Below are 24,614 nucleotides of genomic sequence, written 5' to 3'. Positions count from 1 at the left end.
AGTTAAAAGAAAAAAAAAGGCAATATGTGTGGAAACATATATCAAATTGCTTTTCTTATTTTATTGTTTTCTGATATTAGGATATAATGTGTAAGAAAAACTTCTGTTAGGGTATATGGCATTTATACAAATTATGAGAACACAAAATTATTATTGAAGGAAAAGTGAAAACGTCTAGTGGTAATGCAATGCTTTCTTTGTGAAGCTTCATGGGAGAAAAAGCTAGCAATTCCATCAAAGACAAGTTAAATTAGACTGCTAGATAATCACATGCTAATTTAGTAATTTAAAAAACTTTCAATATGTTATCAGCATTAGTTCTACATTCCTTTACGTAGCAAGGCTTATTTGTATAAAATTATAGAATTTACATAAACAACATGCTTTGAGGTCAAATGTAGTCTTAAAAATTAGTAGTTATGATAGTCATTATTTATTGAATACACACGTCAGACAATTGATATACATTATCCTCACAGAAATGCCTCACATCAATAATTATTTGACCCATTTTATAGAGGAAGAGACTGAGGTTGAGAGAATAAGTGACTTGATCAGTGTGTCATAGTCAGTGAGTGCGAGAGCTAGAATTCAAATGTGGGTCTGTCCAGCCTCAAAGACCATAGTATTTCCAACGCAAGACACTGGTTGTTATTTCTATATTTCGTTTGCTATATTTGCTTTAGCATTGTGTGTGTGTGTGTGTGTGTGTGTGTGTGTGTGTGTGTACTGTGGAGGTGGGGGGAGCGATTTCTATTTGGATGAGAATACATTTCATGTTTCTGGAAAGCTGAAAACATATTCAGAATAATGCTTCAAGATTTTTAAGTCAATCTTTTATGTTACAGATAGTATCTATTTGTCCCAGGTTATCTATCTCTAAATTGGTGGTCGATTTCCCTCCATTTGAGTTTCTGAGTCTCTCTATATTTTGCAGCTTAAAGAACCAGTTATCATTCCACTGGAACTCATTGAATTTGTGTAGGTGCCCAACTCTAATGACTGACATTTAAGAACAAATACTGTGCCTTTGACATACTGTTAAAATCAGATACTGGCACAGTTACAACTCACTAACTTTTGGGAATGGGAGCAGATGCTTTGAAACACTATACTGTACTTCAAACAAGAACGAATGCGCACAGAACTCTACAACCATAAGCCATGAATCTCATGTAATGTATATCTCTGATCTTTTGGTCTGTTTCTAGATGGAGTTTGCTAATGATTTCCTGAGGATCTTTGCAACCAACAGTAGCATTGGGCAAAGGCACTGGGAATACTCTTGCAGTTCACCAATCTCCATCATGTACAAAATTGTGTTGGAAACAATACATTATGGGCCATGTTTGTCAGAAGAGTATTTGTGCCAATTTCTAATAGTAACTTTCAGCAAACTTTTATCTGCATTTTATTGAGTTTTGTGTTTTTGATGTATATTATTTACTCCATGGAAACTACCATGATAATTCCTTTTTGCTCTACACATCTGTTGCATAAAATAATGCATTTAAATCATCCTATCTGAAGAGAAAGTGCGATTCTGGAATTTTCTGGAATATTCTAAAATATTGAACGGATTCTACCATTTGTAAAAGGTAAACTAAAGCTATAATGTAAATGAATAATTGAGGGCAAAAGCAAGAGTAAAATGAGTATGTAGCTAGGATGCAACTGAATAACAAAGTGAGTGGACATTTACTTGTAGGTCATACCATAATTATCTTGATATATTATAACAACAAAAATTTTGTTTCAAGAGAGCAATTTACTGCTGTTTTCAGTAGTATCAGTAAAACTGTATTATAAACATGAACATTTTAAACATATATCCCCCTGTTTAGTGGAGGATACCCAAAAGTGGTAACACAGGAAGAAGGAATGGAATATATCTACACAGGTTATAACAACAATACTCGTTTGTTCAGTTTCTATAAATACAAAGGTGAAGACCAGATGGTTGTACACAGCATCATCTAGAACCTGCAGGTCTATAGTTGGAGAAAGCCCATATTGCAGGTCACCAGACACCCTACCAGTACAAGATTGGGCCCTTGGCTGTCTGGCAGTACTAACAATCAAACTCAACTATAATGATCAGAAGGTTTTAATCTAATGGAGGTGAGATCACAGTTTAGTGCAGTTTTTTTTTCAGTGCCTTCATTTAAATATATAAATGGGTTGCCCAAATAGTCACCCTGGCTAAATGCTGCTAAATAAATTAGTGCTCCTTCTTATCCTTCTATGAAAAGAAAACTGAAATCAAATGTTAAGATCTTTAATATGATCAGGTTTCTGTGACATAGCTTCACCTTAAATATTAGCTTTACAGCCTGAAAATATAGAGTTTTAATACAGTTTAGCTGGAGAAGTTGTTTTGTACACAATGCATTTTTAGAGGAATATCTTAATATATTGCCCATGTGAAGCTCCTGGTGTTACAAAAAAGGCAGTTTATATTCAACATACTTCAAGTTTAGAATAGCAGAGCATTTTGTAATTTAGAACAAAGGCATGTTCCCTCTAGTAGTTTCTGATATCAACTGCAACTTATAAATTTGCCTTGAGACATGTTTGCAATAAAAATTACAGGTTTTCTGATTCAGCATGTTCCATCATAGCACACTAAGATAGCACCAAAGATGACAAAAATAAAACGACTGAAGCAAAATGAAGTGAACACAAATAGCTTATTACCAAATGAAAAGGCCATTTCAGGAGCCCAAAATAGAAAGGGAGTAACTATTACAAGCGGTCACTTTGTATTTTTCATACTAAGAAGAGTTTAGAACAAGATTAGCAGAAATGCTGTAGCCTATATTATGAGCCTTTAAAGGAAATATAGTAGGTCATTCAACAAATGGTAATCTTCAAAAACTTGTATCTGAAGGTCAAAATCTGAGTGTATAATATTTAGACATGCCTAATCATTGTTTTAAAATGTAAAACAATCATAGAATCATTAATAGGCATCTAATATATACATTAATATACCATGTCAAATACAGACATTTCTTTTTTAACAATAGACATTTTCTCAGATGATAGGAGGAATGGGAAAATCAGCCAGGCATGGTGGCTCATGCCTGTAATCCCAGCACTTTGGGAGGCCAAGGTGGGTGGATCACTTGAGGTCAGGAGTTCGAGACCAGCCTGGCCAACATGGCAAAACCCTGTCTCTATTAAAAAGACAAAAAAAAAATTAGCTGGATGTGGTGGCATGCACCTGTAATCCCAGATACTCAGGAGGCTGAGGTAGAATTGCTTGAACCCGAGAGATGGAGGTTGCAGTGAGCTGAGATTGCACCATTGCACTCTAGCCTGGGCGACAAGAGCAAAACTCATTCTCAGAAAAGAAAAAAAAAAAAAAAGAAGAAGGAATGGAAAAATCTAGAGTACTCCAGAGAAGTGTTATCTGTGAACATAGTATTAGTATGTATAACTCATAGTATACTCTGTTTCTCTACCTAACCACATATCTCACATAAAACTCAGTGAATGCTCACTCTGAGAACCCATTAGACCTGAGGTCTCTTCTCTCAAACCCACAGTCTTACTCATGCACACAGTAAAAAAATGAGTGTCTATAGCTCTAAGTGGTGGATGATAAAAGAAAGAAAATGCTTTGCTGCTCTAATCAGCCTTATCTTCTTGACACCTGACTGAGATTATTTTTTTATTCCTGCTACTGTTCTCTGATCAGACTAGCATCAACCTGTGGGTACTGAACAATACTGAGAGCTTACGAGTAAGTTATATTTAGTTATTTGTATGAACAGTACATACACTGAGGTACTGTGTGATTTAAGGCAATTCTGTGAAAATAAATTTTTAAAATTTGAGTGGCTTTAGGTTTCTGTAAAATTCTTTCAATAAACACTGAAACTCTTTTCAAGCATTTAAAATTAATTTGGGGCCAGGCGCAGTGGCTCATGTCTGTAATCCCAGCACTTTGGGAGGCTGAGGTGGGCAGATCACTTGAGGTCAGGATATTGAGACCAGCCTGGCCAACATGGTGAAACCCTGTCTCTACTAAAAATACAAAACTTAGCTGGGCGTGCTGGTACACACCTGTAATCCCAGCTACTCACAAGGCTGAGGCAGGGGAATCACTTGAACCCAGAAGGCGGAGGTTGCAGTGAGCTGAGACTGTGCCACCGCACTCCAGTTTTGGCAACAGAGCGAGACTCCCTCTCAAAGGAAAATAAAAAATAAAAATAATACAATTAAATTTTTTAAATATTTGATAGTCTATTAGATATATCTGACAGCAATAGCTTTAACATTGAGTAGGTTAGATTTTAAAGTCAAGCATATCTGTCAAATCAGTATTTGATCAGGTTTCTACTGTTTTTATATAAAGATTATGATGTTGATGATTCCTCCTTCCACAATGCCTTATTTAATAATTTCTATTGGTATTTTTTTGTGGAATTTTTCCCCCCTGGCAGAGTCAGGTGATTCTTTATAAATATTGTTGAAGAAGAATTCATGCACTGAAATAGAATAAATAATGCATGATTTCCCTTCCAAGTATGAGATTGTGTGACTCTATGATACTAAATGGTCATAAATTTCTTCATAGCAAACTCTCTGGGACATTTATACAATTTTATATTAATGAAATAATGTTATATTAAATACGTTGTTAAAAACACATCTCTAAAACTGTCAACTATTTTTTTAAAAAATCTAATGCGTAACCCCTCTGTGGTAAACTTTCACTTATATTTTTTTCCTATCTTCCTTTAACAAGACAGTAGATGTCACTATCCACATAAAACTTAAATAACTCTCATAAACCTCTCTGTCCCATCTCCATCTTCTTTGTCTTCTAAGATTAAAAACTACATTTAGCCTGGTTGTGTAGAACGCTCATCAATAACTGACAAGAGTGGCCTGACAGCTGGCTTTGGGGAATTTTAAGTCTAATCCCATTTTCTATGGGGTGGAACAAGTCAACTTAAGTTATCACATCAGAGGAGATTTTTCTTCAGGGGGAGAAAAATGGAACGTGGCTGATAGGATAGGCACCAGATGCTTCAGGCAAAAGGGCTAACAGTGGAAAAGAGACAAATAGGGGTATATGACAAGCATCCTCCAACTCAGTTTAGGTTCCCCCCTATTCTCTTCTCAGTTTTCTCCTTTGGATGCTGATTTCAGCAACTGTCAAAGGACAGATATTGTTACAGCCCTGAGAGCTCATTAGCAACCATGTAAACAGCCTGCCTGTCCATTGGTTGTAGCAGCTGAGAGCTGTCCTATGAAGTGCGGTGACAAGTTTTCCAGCATAAAAAGTGATCCAAAATGTAGCATTTAAAGGAACAACTAATATGCCGTGAGGGTGAGAATTAATGTTGTTTAGACCCAAGAAGCAAGTCAAAGTGTTACAAAATGGACTGGGGTGCTTGGGTAAGGCAGGCCATCCCCAAGAGGTACTGCCAACTGACCAGCACTGAGCAAACACTTAGTTTCTAAAAGCATGAATTGTGAAAACATAAATATTTGTGTTTCAATCTTTGGGAAAATTATTTAAACTTCTCCAAAATGCAATTTCTTTCTCTATTGAGCAGAGGAACTAATACTTTTATATTAAGGTATCTAGAGGTTTGAATTAGATATTGTTTATAAGACACTTTTCTTAGTAATTAGCTATGAGCACTCAATTACCAGTAGTTAAAATTATTGATGTTATTATGATGATTACTATTACTTTGTTCTCTATTATGATTTCTGGAATTGCCGTATCCTTGTTTCCTATCAATTAGATTCATTCTCAGCTAATCCCCTTCCTTACCTGTGGATCTTTAACTTCCCCACCTCATCTACTCTCATCAAGTTCTGTATATTTTACCTCCTAAATTTTGTAAATCTGTCACCATCTTTGCCTTTCCACGTCTAATAGCCTTGTTATTTCTACCTGGACTATTATTTTTAAGCCTTTCCCTATCTCTGTTCTCACTCACCACTAATCCATTCTTTAGCACAGCTAAACTGTTCTTTCTGATATGCAATCTGATCATACTGCTGCCTTGTTTAAGTACTGCCTATGTACTTCACTGCCCTTAGAAAACAGTTTAAACTCCTTAGCCTTCAAGTTCCTTCAAAAATTTGGCTTAAGCCTTTTCTATTTCCATTCTCAGAAACAACCTTTTGCCTTACTCATATTCACAGTATAAGCCAAACACTGTTTCTTCATTCCTGGCTGTATCACAGGTGCATGTCTTGGTAGATGTCTTCTTGGCATAAGATGCTTCTCTGTCTACCTGGAGAATTCCTTCCTTTCAACATGAAACTTCACTGTCTCTTCAGTGCTCTTCTAACACTTGGAATATGTTCACATTTCAGCATTGTGTTTAGGAATTGTATTTGTTTATTTACCTCACTAGAATATAGATTGCTGGTTCCCATGATTTTTAAAAAACTTCATCTTTGAAATCCAGATCTAGCCCAGGGTCTGGAAAACAGTCAGCAATCAATGAGGCTTACTTGTTTTATGGTGGTCTTCTTCACTAGAAGGATATTTCATTTTGGGAAGTAAGCATTCCCCTGAAACTAGCATGGCATAATAATAGCATTTTAACTATATATTATTAGCCATTCTACAGCTGACTAATCATGACCAGAAGTATTTGTAGTTAAAAAATCAAAAACAAGGCCAGGCATGGTGGCTCATGCCTGTAATCCCAGCCCTTTGGGAGGCCAAGGCGGGCAGATCATGAGGTAAGGAGATGGAGAGTATCCTGGCCAACATGGTGAAACCCTGTCTCTACTAAAATACAAAAACTTAGCTGAGCATGGTGGTGGGTGCCTGCAGTCCCAACTACTCGGGAGGCTGAGGCAGGAGAATCGCTTGAACCCGGAGGCAGAGGTTGCAGTGAGCCGATATCACACCACTGCACCCCAGCCTGGGCTACAGACCAAGACTCCGTCAAAAAAAAAAAAAAAAATCAAAAACAAAATAAAAAATCTAAAACTTTTTTATTTTATTATATTATACTTTAAGTTTTAGGGTACATGTGCACAACGTGCAGGTTTGTTACATATGTATACATGTGCCATGCTGGTGTGCTGCACTCATTAACTCGTCATTTAGCATTAGGTATATCTCCTAATGCTATCCCTCCCAATTCCCCCACCCCACAGCAGTCTCCGGTGTGTGATGTTCCCCTTCCTGTGTCCATGTGTTCTCATTGTTCATTTTTAAAGAAATATTTGGCAATTTCCTCTGTAACACAATCAGCTGGGCAAGCTTCATTGAACCTCCAGTGAATTGCCTGTCATAATATTTTGCCACATATGTAAAATAAATAAATTCAGAGGCAAGGCAAATAAAAAGAAAACACAAACAATTAGGACCAAAAAACGTATTTCAAAAAGCTGAGGGTATAGTCTGTGATTCTGGTAGACATAGGACCTGGTACAAAGTAGAATATTTGCTCTTGAAAAAGTTACTTATCTGAGCAGTGCAGACAGAGAAGATAAGGGGTACATGAACTGAGTGATTTTTTCACTGAAATATTGGAAGCAAACTGAAATGGTGAAGAAAATTGCTTAATTGAAATGCTTATAAATATGTAAAAGAATTCATGATTTTAGTAGCTAAAGAATCTTGAGATAAGCAGCAGAACAAGTCGAGGACAGTCACCTTTGGCAATGTTGAGGATTACTACAGAAAATTATATTTCAGGATTGTTTTTCTTGGTTGAATATTTAGATAATGAGGAGGAAGGAGAGTATGTACGCTCTATGTATGGACAAATGGAATAAGCCTTCCACCTTCCTATTTACGGCGTAGCCAATGGCCACTTGTTCTTTGAGAAGTCACATTCCTATCTTACTTAGTAGCTCCTTTTCCTTAGTGAAGTTTTCTTAACTACCTCAGACTCAAGCTTGTAAAGTCTGGTGAAATGTAAAGGTATCAAGAGTATACGGTGGGATAAAAAGGACTCCTGATGTTTTCAAGGTGGCTTGGTCCATAATTAAGAGCTCTGTAAAAGATATTTTTAGTGCCTGAAGGGGTGTCCTTATTTAATGAAAGTAGGCTCAGGAAAGAGTTTTTAGCTTAATAGCACTAAGTTTCCTATTTTAAAAAAGATTAATGTCAAAGTCATGTTAATGGAAGACATAGGGTTCTCTCAGAGAAGATTAGATTGTATAGCCTAAAAGTATTCCTCACGGTGTGGGGTAATTCAGGAGGAACCCAGAGACAGCAATCTCTAATGAAGGAATGTACCAGCACCAAAGTGCTGTGTCTTCCTTCCTGTTATGGTGCCAGAGTCTCTTCCTCCTCAACACAGCAGAAGCCTTTGGAAGAGCAAGCTGAGGTCTGAGGCCAGCACGGTAGAATGATACCAGGCAAGGCAGAGGGTTAGGACTCCATTTTGGGAAATGGAGAGAACTTTTCAAATGAAGCCTTCTGGATGGAGAGGGTGCCATAGGAGGAACAAAGAGGGTTAGAGATTTACGGAGGGTCAGAAGATGGGCACCTCCATGTGGAATGCTTGAATAAGGTCTAAATGATGCAGCCTTTTCTAGTCGCTCCATTCTGTCCCTTTCCCCACTCCTGTCCTGAGTCTTTCATCTTCCCCCTAACTCTCCTCATGTGGCACAACAGAATACATTAGATAAAAGACAGCCTCAGGTCCTTCTGGTTTGAACTCCTTTAGAGTGTCTATTTCATTTTAATTTTTTTAGAACTGTTTAAATAGCCACCAGAATATAAGATGCGTTTGGTCTAGAAAAAGTGCGCAGCAAGATTCATGAGAAGGGCACATCTACCTGGCAGAACACGGTCCTCCTGTGGTAGATTAGATTACAAAGTGTGGGGATTACAGACCAGCAGATGACCCTGAAGTCTACCCTGACAGACTTGGGAATATTTTCTGCACTCTGTCCCGACGAAAGTATTCTGGGTCAGCCCTACCCACCATGTGGTACAGTCAGATGGTCACAGGTAAAATTGTAAGTTTATGTAAAGTAGATGCCCTTGGGAAGGGTAGATGTCATGGACTACTTAGGGGAACATCCCCTTGCATTAAAAAGATCTGCACTTTCCTTACAAACTTAGGAGTTAGTTCAGATATGTGGACACGGCAGGCCATTTTAGAGAATCTAAGGGAAGATGGAAATGCTGCACGTCTTACTGCTGTTGGCTATAACCAATAAAAATGATTGTTAAACTCTCTGTGAAATGATGGTGTTATACAGATGCAAGAGAACAGTCATCTGAAAATCTGACTGGCTTGTCTGACTTATTGACCCACATTACAAGCTAGAAACTAATTGTGTCACATCATGAACCCTGAAATGTGGCAGACACTGTATTTTTCTACCACAAACCTCAAAACTCTGACAGTGTTGACAGAAATATCATTTATGATCCTTTTCTCTATTTTAAATGGCTATTAGTTAAATAAACAAATATTTGGTATATATTAATATTTAATAATAAATACATTATAAAATAAATATACATGTATATACCATGAAAGGCCATTTTAGATATATTATATTTAATATATGTGTATGATATCTAATAAAATATATATTATAATATATAAATTATTAAGCAAATCTTCACTATAAAAGGTCCTAGTATTCTGTACATTCAATTATCCTGCAGTTTTCCTGTGCATGGTAAAAAGCATGTGCAGTTTCTTTTTTATATATCATAAAAAAGCTGCAATACTTATTTATCTCAAGACACTAGGAAGAAATACAAAATTATCCTAAATTTTATGGTCAGCATTTTACAATGTTACTGCTGATTATAGGATGATTGTAAAATTTATGTTAAGATGATATCTTCAAATAATGCAATAGATTTCAGTAGTGAAATAGGGGATTTTCATATTCCTATATTCTTGAAAATTCAGGAAGGACTTCACTAATTCCCGTTAATTTCCCTGGAAGGATCACATTTTTAAATGGTGTTAACAAAAACATACTAAAATAATCATAATACCAGAGAGTTGAAAGAGTTACCAGAGGCATTACATAATATGATTAGGTACCTTAAGGCACATAAACCAGTCCCTAAAACTGACTTCATGTTTTTTTTAATAAGATACTTCAGTGACTTGGAAAACTTAACACAAGGGAGTCCTTACTTGTACATAGCCCCAAAATCTCCTGTTTCACAGAAAACACTATTTTGTTCTCAATGAAAATGGACAATACCTGCATACCACCTCTGGTACAATATTTCTCTATGTAATAAAACACTTCTTTTTCATTTTCCTCCTTTAGCCTTCTCTTTGTCAAATTAAATACTAAATTATTTTAGTTGTTATCTATAAGATATATTACTTCCATTTTTAGACTGTTATTAACTAAACCATTTTTTTTTCTCTTGTATTTTAGTTTTTGCATAATTTGTGAACCTTCTAAGTAGGTCATGGTAGTCTTTACAAGGCTTGAACAACTTACATGCTGCTAGGTTACTCTGGTCATTTTAAAAATAAACACTAATGCCACATTTCAGATTTATAATTGACAGATGGTTTATACTGAAATTATCATAGGTATACACAAATATACGCATACAGTTTGTTTTTTCCATCTCTGAGTGATTATCACATATTCGTCCCTATTAAACTTCATCGTACTTCTAATCACCTTGTTTTATTTGTAAAGGTCCTTATACATTCTTACAGTGGAGTTCTAGTCAATAATCACCCCTACTCAATATAGAGTAATCTGCATATTTAATAAGCTTACTCCCTATTCCATACTTCAAATTAACATTGAAAATGTTAATTAGAATCAAGACCAATGCTGACTTATGGAAAAAAATTATTCAATATACCCTCCAAGGCTGACATTGAAATATTATTGATCACTACCTTGCATATGGCCTACTAACAAGCTCTGAAACAATAATACATAATAATACTACATGAAACAATGACCCAAATGAAATACAGTGTGAATTCAAATGAGGAATCCATAATAATTTGTGATTTTTTTCCTCTATAAGATCTTTTGAGGAGCTCAAAAACATTAATCATACTATCAAAAATTTCATAGTGGGAAATAAAAGACTAGGAGAAATAAGTTACCATGAATAAGTGTAGGCTAATTTAGTAGCCTATTTAAAGACCCAGTGAAACATTACTGTCAAAGTAAGGTAGAAGGTCACAGTTTCAGTGAAGTATCTAATGAATATGACAAAAACCAAAAATCCTGGCTCTTTATAACACAGGAACAGGGGGCCAAGTTTCTACTGATAACTCAACATTTTCCAAATGCAAAAGATACATTCCTCTTCTCAGTCCAGTAGGTCTGTGAATTTCTCAAAATAAATATTTTTTTTAAATTTATCTCACACCTTGTTTATTAAGATATCTCATTGGTATAGTTGATATAAAAGTTTATGCCTGAAGGGACATGGAAAATAACATCATTCAAACTGTGGAACAAATATTTGTGCAGTGAGCGAAGAATTGGATCACTTTTTTAAAAGACGAAAAACTGAAGTGCAAAGTGGTTTGAGTTCATGTCCTTTGTAGGGACATGGGTGAAGCTGGAAACCATCCTTCTCAGCAAACTATTGCAAGGACAAAAAACCGAACACCGCATGTTCTCACTCATAGGTGGGAATTGAACAATGAGAACACATGGACACAGGAAGGGGAACATCACACACCGAGGACTGTTGTGGGGTGGGGGGAGGGGAGAGGGATAGCATTAGGTGACATACCTAATGCTAAATGATGAGTTAATGGGTGCAGCACACCAACATGGCACATGTATACATATGTAACAAACCTGCACGTTGTGCACATGTACCCTAAAACTTAAAGTATAATAATAAAATAAAAAGAATTTGCCTTATTTTTTAGTAGGAGAAAAGAGACTTGAACCTAAGTCTTCAGTCTCCTTTAATAATATTCTTCTGCCAAACAGCTCTGCCTGCCAACTCCAGTCTTGCTGATTTTCATCACTACTCTTCCCACATTAATTTCACAGAAGGATGCTCCATACTCAAACTACGTCCTCCACAATGACTGATTCAGAATGATTCAGAGAAATTATCCTCTATTCTCAAGTAGGTGGTATTTCCTTTTTGAGAAATTTCAGCAGAAGTTGATATTAAATGCATATCTTGATGCCTGAGAGCCAGGTCTTATTAACTGCTATTTTGAGATTATAAATGCCCGAACTGTTTTGCAAATGTGCTCCACACTCCCAAGACAACAGCAAATCTTGAGAACTCTGTAGCATCCCTCTCAGAAAATGACAATCGTCCTCTGAATAAAAGCAGCCCACCAGCCAGCTTTAGACCTTATTCCTCGCCTTCCTCACCACTTGCTATTAGCTGGGGTATCTGGCTCTTATTTAGCATCATCCCTCTTTAGCATCTGGGCTTGAGAAATGGAGGCTGTAGTACGTGTGTGTGTGTGTGTGTGTGTGGTGTGCGTGTGTGTGTGGGGGGGGGGAGTGGAGGAGAGAGCCATTAAAATAAATTAAATATCTTTAGGTGACAGGAACTATGGAGGAACTAAGAGCATCAGAGAATTGATGGGGTCAAACAGATACTTAGCAGTAGAGTGTGGAGGGCAGCATACCAACATCACTGGCATGATGGAGAGGCTAGGGAAAGAAAAATAGGACTGGAAATAGAGAACTAGAAAAAGAAAATAAGAAGATATGACAAAAAAGGATTTTTTTTTTCAGATTTGCCTTTCAACTTAAGATATCTGTTATTCAGGTTTTCAGTTGAGTATCAGTTTTATCTCACACCTTGTTTATTAAGATATCTCATTGGTATAGTTGATATAAAAGTTTATGCCTGAAGGGACATGGAAAATAACATCATTCAAACTGTGGAGCAAATATTTGTGCAGTGAGCGAAGAATTGGATCACTTTTTTAAAAGACGAAAAACTGAAGTGCAAAGTAGTTTTAGAATTTGCCTTATTCTTTAGTAGGAGAAAAGAGACTTGAACCTAAGTCTTCAGTCTCCTTTAATAGTATTCTTCTGCCAAACAGCCCCGGCTGCCAACTCCAGTCTTGCTGATTTTCATCACTACTCTTCCCACATTAATTTCACAAAAGGATGCTCTGTACTCAAACTATGTCCTCCACAATGACTAAGCAGTATACTCCAAGCATAGGTTCTTTTTTTAACCATATCTATAAGTTTGTGGTGGATAGAATTTATTTATCCAGCAGACTTCAGTAAGGGGAGGAAGTAACAGAAAATGGAGAAGAGACAGGAATTTATATTCTTGAGCACAGCACTTAATAGGTTTCTAGGCTTAAAGGAGCAAGATTGGGAAGAAAGAGAAAAAGAGAAGGATTTGATTTGTCTAGAATGATTCATCTTGTTCAGAAGAAGATTATTTTAGAAGCTGTGGAAGATTATAAAATTGGTAAAGTTTTTGTCCTGGTGAGCTCAGTGTAAACAGAGTCTATGGAAATGCTAACATAGCCCTGTTCCTGGGAGCCACAAACTGTGAGACAACTTTTAATTAAATGCTCACTGAAAGGTGGCTTTGAAAGACCAATATACTTCTAGGAAGTTTTAATTTTTTTCCAAAACAGAGACAAAATTCTGTCTATGACATCGAGATAGCTGTACGTTTGGGAAACATCCATCACTGTAGTACTTAAGTGCTAGGACAAGTAAGCCATTTCAACACTAACAATAGAGAGTAAGGAGATGAATGTCTTCCTCTGCTGCAGTGCTTGTGTGTTCTGGAGTTAAGCCTATACAATTCTGTACTAAAATGAAACAGAAAGGCAGTATGAGCCAGCCCTCGCTCACTTCATCCACCTTCATTTTGGCTCCTCCTAATAAAGTGTGCAATTCCCTACTGAGAGCTATAAAAAAGACTCCTACTGGAAGACTGAAGAGTGAGTGGGTGACACAAAGGATACTTAGAGAGCATACCATTTTGGGTTTCCTCTCTTATCCTGGAATAATAGGACAAAGAAATGGCTTTCATATTTCTATCTAATTTTTTAAATGGGGTACACATACAAGTCATGGAGTTTCACACTCTCAGGTCAGATTCTAAAAAATGTCTTTCTAGTTCACTCAGTGAGTGAATATTTACTTGTAACCCACTAAGTACTCACACAATACACTACATAAGGCACTGAACTGGTACAAAGATGATAAAACAACCCTCAAGAATATGCATTTTAATAGGGAAGTAAAACAAGTAGAATAGTATTCCAATACAGGGTGTAAGTGAGGTAGATGTGAAGTGGTTCAAAAAAGGGAGACACTAAATATAGTTATGAATATGTGGCAAGGACATATTTGAGTATTTGAGCTGTGTATTATGAGAGGGCTAAATAAAGGTGAGTTAGGAGAGAAAACTTACCTGGCAAATATATATCCTGACCCAGGGGTCTTGCCAGTCTCTATTAGTAGCAACCTGATCTCAGTGCTAGTTAGTCACTAGCTAAGGTGAGATAACAGAGTGAATCATTCTTCCAAGACCTTATTTATGCCTAAATTCAGATAAGGCTTGCAGATGCATCAGATTTTTGTTTGTTTATTTTGCTTTTATCTTTGGGGAAAATGAGAGGATTAAGCAGCAGGGCAAAAAGACAACCCTCAGCAAGATAGACTGTAAGGTAGGATGGTGACATCTGTGTCAGAAACAGTAGCTCCATAAGCAAGAAACATTGAGATTTAGGTGAATCAGCTCAAAGGAACAATTAATATATAGAATTGTGGACAAAATGACAAAAATACCATCAAAATGGGGGCAGAGAGAAAGACAGGCCAAGGAATCTATATGAGTGCCTAGAGAAAATGTAGAAGAATGGAAGCAAATGTTAGGTAGGTGCTGTCCATGGACTGTGTTATATTATTCATGCTCTTTTTCACTTAATCTTTACACTAAACACTACACTAAACCTATGAAGTTGAATCTATCCCTTTTTTACTCTTAGGAAAATATGGTTTATAATAATTATGGAATCCTGACAAGGTCATTGAGCTATTAAGTGGCAAAGAATTCGAATGCAGATTTGTTTGAATCCAGTCTCCCGTTACTGACTTGCATACCACATAACTTAGAAATACCTGGAAGTAACTTAGCTAAACATACTGCTGCCATTTATTCTTTTCTGCAAAGCTCTCTTTATTTCCTAAGAAATTTATAGTAACCCTTATGGATGCCATTTATTCATTTATTTATTTCATACAATAAAGGTTTAGCGTATTTGTAATTAGCATACAATATGTTCCCCTGGTAAAAAGTTATAGTGCTAGATTGCCTGGGTTTACTACCCTAGCTTCAGTTTCATCATCTATAAAATAGAGATGATAATAACATATCTCTCATGGGGCTATTACGAAGACTAAATGAGAAAACCCATGCAAAGTATTTAGAAAACTAGCTGTCACATAGCAAGCACTCAAGAAATATTAGCTGCTCTTATTCATACTATTGTTAGGTACTCTGAGAGGCACTCTAGCAGTGCCTCTCAAGATGGATATAACATAGTCTTTGCTTTTGAAGAACTTAAAATCGCAAAGAGAAGGCACATGTGTAGTAATGGCTAATTCTGCCTGGGAAAATGGAAGATACCGGAAGAGAAGGGGGTTTTGAGTGATTTCAGGGAGAGAGAAGAGCATGTAAAGCTCCAGAGAGGCATGCAAGGTCCCATAAGAGTCTAGCTTGACTGTAGCATGAAAAAGTGAGAAGGAATTTGTTGGTGCCCCTGGACAGAAATGTGGGTGGGAAAGAAGGGCTCAATATGCTTTGCTAATGGAGTTGTATTCATCTTTATTGGATGAAGTAATAATAAAGTTTTTCAAGCCAATTTTGAGGATGGGAGAAGGTAACAGTCTGGACTCCACACTCCAGTGGATAAACTCTATTGGGAAGAGAATGGAGAAAGAGGAACAATAGTTAAGGTAAGGGAAAAGAAACTAAGATGTGAAGCAGCAGGCAGGGACAGTCATGATATTTTATTGACTCGAATCAATAATGGGAAGAAAATCAAGTAGAAAATCAAGACTTGGAGAAAAAGATGGAGAAGAAATAGAAGCGGGGAATATAGTTAGCCTCTACCTTGTTTTAAAAATAGTTGTTGAAATGAATGATGTAATCCACTAAACAGGCTAATAAAGAAAAATTACCCGAGCATACCAATCAATAAAAAATGAAATCATTTGTCAAAATCCAACACCTATTCATGACGAAAAACACATGGAAAACTAGGAATAGAAGATAACTTCCTCAATTTGAGAAATAATATCTACAATAAAAAACTTTACAGATAATGTCATACCTAACGGTCAAAGACTGCTTTTCCAGCAAGATCAGGAACAAAGCAGAGATATTCACTCTCACTACTCTTAATTTGACATAGTATTGTAAATTCTATCCAGCAAAGAAAAGGCAAAATAGAAAATAAAAGGTATCTGGATGAGAAAGAAAAATGATACAACCACCTGACTTTGTAAATGGCATAAGCTATACCTAGAAAAATCCAAAGAATCTACCAAAAACTCCTAAAACTAATAAAGGAGCTTAGTAAGTTTACAAATTATACCTAGGAAATCCGAAAGGATCTACCAAAAACCCCTAGAAGTAAGATATGAGCTTAGCAAGATTACAAGATAAAATCAGCAGACAAAAAACAATTGTATTTCTATATCCTAGTAATGAATATGTGAAAATTAAAATTAAAAATTCAATTACTATGATTTTAATACTTGGGTTCCTTCCAGAGTTCATATTGAAATTTAATCCCTAGTTCAACAATATTAAGAGGGGGACCTTTAGGAGACAATCAGGCCATAAAGGCTCTGCTCTCATGGCTGGGATTAGTTCCTTATAAAAAAGCTTGATGGAATGAGTTTGGCCCCTTTTGACCTTCCATCTTTTCTGTCATGTGAGGACATAGAACAGCAGTCAAAGTACCATCTTGGAAGCAGAAACCTGGCCCTCACCAGACTCTCAACCTGCTGGCACCTTGATATTGGACTTCCCAGCATCCAGAACTGTGAGGAAATAAATTTCTATTCTTTATAAATTACTCAGACCTAGGTATTTTGTTATAGCAGCACAAATGGATCGAGATACCAAGAACGTTTGTAATCACTGAGAAAAAGAAATACTTAGGCACAAATCTAACAAAACATGTACAGGACTTGTATAATGAAAATTATAAAGTGCTGATAAAATAAATCAAAGATCTAAATAAGTGGGGAGACATATGTTTACAGATCAGAAGACTCATCATATTAAAAATGTGAATTCTCACTCCAATTTATTTAATGCAATTACTGTCAATATTTCAGCAATATTTTTGTAGATATAGACAAGATTATTCTATAATTTATAATAAAAAGACAAAGGAACTAAAATAGCTAAAATGATTCTGAAAAAATAGGTGGGAAGAATCACTCTACTCAAACTACAGTAATCAAAACTGTGTTACCGGCAGAGGGATAGACAACACAGATTAATGAAACAGGGTAGGAACACAGAAACAGACTCACATAGTATGGCCAACAGATTTTTTTTTTTGTACAAAGGTGCAAAACAATTCAATGAAGAAAGGATAGTCTTTTCAGCAATGCTGCTTGAGCATTTGAATATCCATAGTGAAAAATTGAACCTAAACGTTGCACTTTATACAAAATTAACTCAAAATGCATCAAATATGTAAATGTGTAATGTAAAACTATAAAACTTTTAGAAGAAATAGGAGAAAATCTTCATGACCTTGGACTTATTGAAGAGTGCTAGACATGAAACCAAAAGCACAATCCATAAAATGAAAAAATTGATACATTGCACTTCATCAACTTCTAAAACTTTTGTTCTATGATGAACCCTATAAAGAGGATGAAAATACAAGCTACAGACTAGGAGAAAATATTTGCAAACCACCTATATGACAAAGCCTTTGTGTCTGGACTATGTGAAGAACTCTTAATAGTAAACAACCCAATTAGAAAATAGGCAAAAAGCATGAAAACACCTTTCATGGAAGAGGATAAGGATTACAAATGAGCCCATGAACAGATGTTCAATACCACTACACAATAATAAAATAGAAATTAAAACCACAATGAGACATCACCACATACCTATCAGCAAGGCTAAAAAAAAAAAAATGATACCACCAAATGCTGACACAGATGCAGACACCCTTGATCTCTCATACAATGCAGGTGGAAACACAAAATGGTACAGCCACTCTGGAAATTAGTAGGGCAGTTTCTTAAAAAACAAATATATACTTAACACATGACCGAGCAATTGTATTCCTGGGCATTTATGCCAGAGAAACAAACAAACAAAAAATCCACAGAAAACTGCCATGTAAGTGTTCTTAGAAGCTTTATATGTAATAGCCCAAAACTTGAAACAATAAAAATGTCATTCAGTAAGTAAATTGCTAAACCAACTGTGGTACATCCATACCATGGATTATTACTTAGCAATAAAAAGCAATGAACTATTACATACAACAACTTGGATAGATCTCAAGGATATTATGCTGAATCAATAAGAAAGCCATTTTCGAAAGGCCACATACTCTGATTCAATCCTATATTACACTCTTGAAACGCAAAACTTACAGAAATGGGGAACACAGTAAGTTACCAGAGGTTGGGGTTGGTAAGGAAGGGTGAATGTGACTATAAAGGGGTAGAATGAGAGAGATCTTTGCCGTGATGGAATAGTTCTGTATCTTGATTGCAGTGGTGATTATAGGAGTCTACATATGTAATAATATGTCATAGAGCAATTTGCACACATTGTACCAATGTCAATTTCCTGGTTTTAATTTTGTAGTATAATCACTTAATATGCAAAAATTCAGGGAACTGAGAGAAGAATACATGACACTGCTCTGTACTATATCTTTGAAACTTCCTGTGTATATATAATAATTGCAAAATTAAAAGTTATAAGAAAGTTTGTCCAAATATTAACAGAACTTACTGCCCCATGACAGTTTATGGATTATTAATGCTTTGTCCTTCGACATCTTTTTGTACTTTCCTATTTTCTCAAAACAGCCTGTTTTTTTTTTTTTTTACAATCAGGAAAAAAATGCATTCAAATGGAATAAAAATAAGTCTAACTTCTTTGTTGATGGCTCAAAGCTAAAAGTGAGAGGCAGATGGGGCCCACGAATAGTAGACCTTGAGATGCAACTTTTCTGCAAAATTGCATGTGAAACGCAGCCTAAACAGAGTCATTTCCAGAATTTCCTCATTAATCACTGTCTTCCTTTTTACTTAGTTAGCTAAAACATAGTAAGCCACATCCTCTCTTTAAATATCTTAAACAAAATTAACTGAGGCAATATTCTTACATCCACTACATAAGTAAATATTAGCCTAGAAATATGAAGTTTCTGAAGCCAAATTTCTAAGTTACCCTTAATCCTCTAGTATTATCAAATTAAGTAGCCCTTGAAAAAAGTAGAGACATATTCGTATCAAGTAGAGACATACTAGTTAATTGCTGTAAATATACATGCATTAGACACCTTTAACGGCCTCCCATGCATGCCTACATTTTCTCTCTCCCACATGTCCTCCTCTCCAGAGATAAAGTTGTCTTTCTACAACGTCACTCTCCATTACCTCCAGGAAAAATTCCAAATTCCTTAACAAGTCTTACCATGCCCTCGATGATTTAGTCCCACTTTCCTTTTCTTTACAGAGCATCTGTCACTTGCTATCCTTCCCTCTGTCTCCAGGCTTTAGTACCAGATTTGGTGATGCTTGAATTTCTAAGCATAATTAGATCATACTCACCTGTGAACACTTAGAAAAAAATTGCTCAATAATTATTTTCTTTTCAAAATGTAGACCAAGGTGATGGCAAAAATCCTGTTATTGATATGCTAGGGAAAAGGGGTTCTTCTTTAGTAATAGAATATTTATGGATCTCTTTCTGTATCAGTTTGGAAAGCAATGCTATCCCATATTAGTTAGATTCAGTGGCAGAATTAACTCAATATTTTGTTTAGTCCAACCTTAAGCATTATGGAGAATGAAAGCACTGAACACAAAAATATGGTGGGATGTTGGGATCCCTTTGAGTAGGTCCAAGTTTACTTGCAGCTCCTGGGAATGAAAAAACTCAAGTTTCATCACCAAAGACCAGTTTGATTCTAAAGTTATTAATAACTATAACTGTGTAACCCTGATTTTCCCATAGCTATTTTCACTTTTATGTGAACTAGGTAGCTTTTGGAAGTAATATCACAATAAAGGCAAACAGAACTAATGTTGATGATGCTATTATCCAGTGCTTACTCTGAAGTACCTTCAAAGCTTCACATGCTCCATTTCACCATTGCCACTATTAGTCTAGTTATCAAGAGAAAAAAAATCATTCCAATTTCTAGGTGTTTGAAAACAATTAACTATATGTTGTTACCTCTCAATGGGAATGAAAAAGCCCAAATTGTCATTAGAGTCTTGTGGAAATGGCATTTTTTTTCCCTTTAAGAACTGAACTGTGTCATACTCTGTCTCATTATATTATATTAAACATAGGACATAGTTATGATGTGCTGCCCATATCACTGAAGGGATATGAAATTAAATTTATGGGTTATCTTTTCCAGGGAAAATTCCCTTTCAAAACTTTTATTAATAACAAGTGCCAGTTAGATTAGATGCCCATAGATATCTAATTTTAAAAACAAGGTAAAATTTTATGAAATTATTCAGCTTCCCCAAAATAAATCTATTAGATTGCTCCCAGCAAAGTGGAAGAGTTTCTGTCAACCATCAATTCAAAGAAGCTGATTTCTCTCCCTCTCTCTCTCTCTCCCCTTCACTGACATTCCTCTAACCACCTCTGCCCATTGTAGTCTGCAGAAGCAACGCTGAATTTTGGAAATGAAGCTATGGTTGGCATGTGTTTGCCAATGGCACAGCAAAATTGGGCTGGAAATAGTACATTGACATGCACTGCAGCTTCATTTGGTGATGAGCAAATCTTATTAATATAAATGATTAAGAAGCATGACATTGAATGCTACTTTGAAAAAAAGTTTGTCTTTTCTAAGAAAAATTAGAATTTTCCCAAGAAACTTTGGCATTAGTTACAAATGAGATTTTGAATGTTTCTAAGAAACACTGCAGGCAATTATGTTTACCAACACTGTTGAGGCATGAAATTAGAAGATATCTTTAAATTTCGGGAGGGAATCTGGCTTCTTTTAACTTATTTGGCTCTGATTCTCTCATTCCAAAATTAGTCCAGTGATAATATTACAAGGAAGTAGAGATTTATTATACCCACTGATGACTTTTAATAATGCCAGTTGGCATTGGAAAGGAATGATTTTTTAAAAAAATGAATGCAAAGTTACTTTGGGCAGTAGAACTACACTTGAGGGAAACATGATGTGAAATTACAATCTTTTTCCATCAGGTTTTACTTTTAGATAAACCTATGGATGAAAAATTTGAGACAGGCTTCTCCTCCCACTGCTATTGCATGAAAGTCTAGATAAAAACTGGTGCTGGCAAAGTTAGTAATAACTAAATAACTCAGATTTACAGACACCACAAAGTCTGCAACCTCAGAGAAATACCATATCAAGCAAACAAATTCTAGGACCCACCACTAGATTAAAAAAAAGAAAAAAAAAAGAATTTGACAGGTAAGGCCACGGATTGGTGTCTGATTGACATGGATTGGACTCTCAACTCTGACACTTATTGAGTGTGTAATCTTAAGCATTATCTTCCAAACTCTGTTTCTTCATCCATAAAATGGCAATAAGAAGAGTACTTGTATTATTAAGGTTATTTTGTGGAATAAATGAGATGATATTTGTAATATGCTTAACTTCTGGTTCATTATAAATTCTCAGTCAATGTTAACCATGATTTTTTGTTTACTATAATGACAGTTGTTGTTTACTGCATAGGATCAGTTATTTTATTTAAACTTTTTACGATTTATTTATTTAAAAACACTTCAAAGTCAGATGTGAACTACATAAATTTTGAGCTTTAAGGATACCCAAAATGTGACACATTCAACATAATTGATAAGAAATATGTTAATGAAATAAAATACTCAATTTTATTGATTAAAAACTGTTTTGCTATTTGCCATTTGCAACAACATGGATGAACTTGGAGGATATTACACTAGGTGAAATAAGCCAAACACAGAAAGACAAATATTATATGATATCACTTATATGTAGAATCTAGAAAAGTCAAACTCGTAGAAGCAGGAGTAGAATGGTGGTTGCCAGGGGCTAGAGTATAGGGAAAATGTGGAGATGTCGGTCAAAGGGTACGAACTTTCAGAAGATGAACCAGTTGTGGGAATCTAATGCACAGCATGGGTGGTGCATTTGATTGTGTCAATTATTTCACAATGTATATGTATATTGAATCATCACATTGTATAACTTAAATATGTACAATTTTTATTTGACAATTAAGCTATTTTTCTTAAAATGACTTCTATTGATTGGATTTGCCAAAGTCTTACCCTGAATGGTAGATACCAATTATAGACATAATTAACTCATGTTGGGATATATGCCTACATGCCTATAACACAAAAGTCACCTAACTTTTGATACTCTATTTCCTCAGACCAGTTGAGGATTTGGAGAATTTCATCCTTTACATCCCTTAGCAATGGAAAATGCTATGACGAGTTTCTTCTTGTGTTCTCTAAAACCTAAGATTCATACAGAAATTCAAGTTCAAGTGTGGTGTGGGAACTAACATGATGCAGTTAGAATGTAGGCTCAGGAACCAGATTTAAGATTTGGTCTTTACTCAGTCACTTACTAGCTGCAGGCTTTGGGTGAGTTACTTATCCTCTCAACTTTAGTTTTGTCATTTATAAAATGAGTTATTCATAGTATGTATTTTTGAAGATGATAGTAAGTTTTAAATAAGCTAATGCATCACAAAATCTGGCTTTTTGTAAGTGATCAATAAATGTTTATTATTATTTTCATAATTTTACTCATTTCATTGATCTTTTGGCTGGGCTGTTGTAATCATTTTCATATTGCTTAAAGTATGATGCTTATGGGGTCACCAGTATAAGCTTTCCATCAATGGTATAAGTTTCACTCTGTATGATTTGTAATTTATGTCACACATAGATCTATTTACATGGACAATAAATTGGGGGAATATGAAGGTTCTGTATCAAAGGAATAATTGGAAAACAACTTGAGCAGCATGATTTCATGAGAGAAACTAGAAACATCAATTTTATGAATGGATAAAATAATTGACTACTTATTAGCATTACTAGTTGAATATGGGAGTTTCAATTTGTATAATGAGCAAATAGAAAATAATACCCTATTTATTTATAGATAATTAATTCTTAACTTTTTTGGTATTATGCTATAATAGTTTTGTGGCTACTAATGAATTTAATTTACATTCTTTTTAAAAGAAAATAACTACCCAGATTTTCTTTTCCAAACAAGTTACATTCCTAAGGAATTCCCTGACATATCTAATTATTCTGAATTTGAATTGTCAGCTTTTTGGGAAATGAATGTCCAACTTTAGGAAAATTCAAACTTACCTTGTTTGGGGATGAATAAAACATTTTCAGGAAAATTTTTCTTAAAACAATATATAGAACATTATGTTCTAATAAGGCAGAAATTATACTGTGGTGTTGATCTTATAGCATGAAACCACAAAAGCAAAACTGGCTGTGGTGGATAAAAGGCCCTTGGGCTCCACGGGCTTACGGAAATGGCATTTGTGAATTGAGACACTGGCTTAGGTAACTTTTAGGATTAAATAAGTGCACCATAGTTAATCACTATTTCCCAGCATTCCAACTGCAACCAGTAAATAGCAGCAATAAGGACCACATGAAGTATAAGGTAATGAAGAGAAAAACAGAATGTGGTTACTGAAATACTATAATTTTCTGTTGATTGCTATTCCCCTCCCTTTTCTTTTCTCCCCAATCCCCAATCATCCGTCTATCTCTCAAACATCTGTATCTATTCAACTATTTATTCTGACAGTACATAATGGGACAGACTCAAGGCAAAGATTTCCTTTTAAGTATGACTCTTTTTTTTCTTCCTTTTCACAGTGTTAGTCAGATATAGTCATTCTTTGTGGACACTAAAATTCTGAAGATGTGTTATCCTTCCAGGAAAATGTGGGAAGCAACATTGAAATCATAGCCAAATTTTTACTTTATAAAAAATGCTCTACCAATACTGCATTTCCAGGACTTGGACTAATCAGTGATACTTTGCAGTAACACAAAATTGATCCTTTACTCAAAGAGAAGTTGTACATTTATTATGAGACACCACATACTTATTCTCAGATAGCTTTGGCCACTCTTATCATTTCTCATATTTTGTGGCTAATGGAAACATTGTTTACTTACTGGATGGAACTTTCAATGCGTGTAATAGTGAGGAAAGCAGCGAGGTTTGCCGTGTAAGATGAGATAACAATCAAAGCAAATAGCCACCAAGCCCCCATCATCATTCGGGTAGCCAGAGTCGTGTACGGGACTTCCCCGCCTGTAGAAAGAAGCAAAGAGATAAAAAGAACATCAACTAGTATTTATTGAGGATCTGAAGTCATCTATATTCAACACCAAATTAACTTGCAAGTAGTGAGAA

General features: G+C 35.5%; 1 protein-coding gene across 17 annotated transcripts in view; it reads right to left on the bottom strand.

Annotated features, from left to right (window-relative positions):
• The window catches only part of GRID2 (glutamate ionotropic receptor delta type subunit 2), a 1,506,491-nt gene that overhangs the window by 295,306 nt on the left and 1,186,571 nt on the right, over positions 1–24,614 (bottom strand). For all 17 annotated transcript variants that reach the window (NM_001440459.1, XM_024454024.2, NM_001510.4 and 14 more), the window contains one exon: positions 24,374–24,512. In NM_001440459.1, the coding sequence (NP_001427388.1) occupies positions 24,374–24,512 (139 nt within the window). The remainder of the gene's footprint in view (positions 1–24,373; positions 24,513–24,614) is intronic.

The sequence above is a fragment of the Homo sapiens genome, chromosome 4 (genome assembly GCF_000001405.40).
Source record: "Homo sapiens chromosome 4, GRCh38.p14 Primary Assembly".
Classification (NCBI taxonomy): domain Eukaryota; kingdom Metazoa; phylum Chordata; class Mammalia; order Primates; family Hominidae; genus Homo; species Homo sapiens.
Note: the sequence above shows the minus strand (reverse complement) of the source record. Positions and strands in the feature narration are given on the sequence as shown.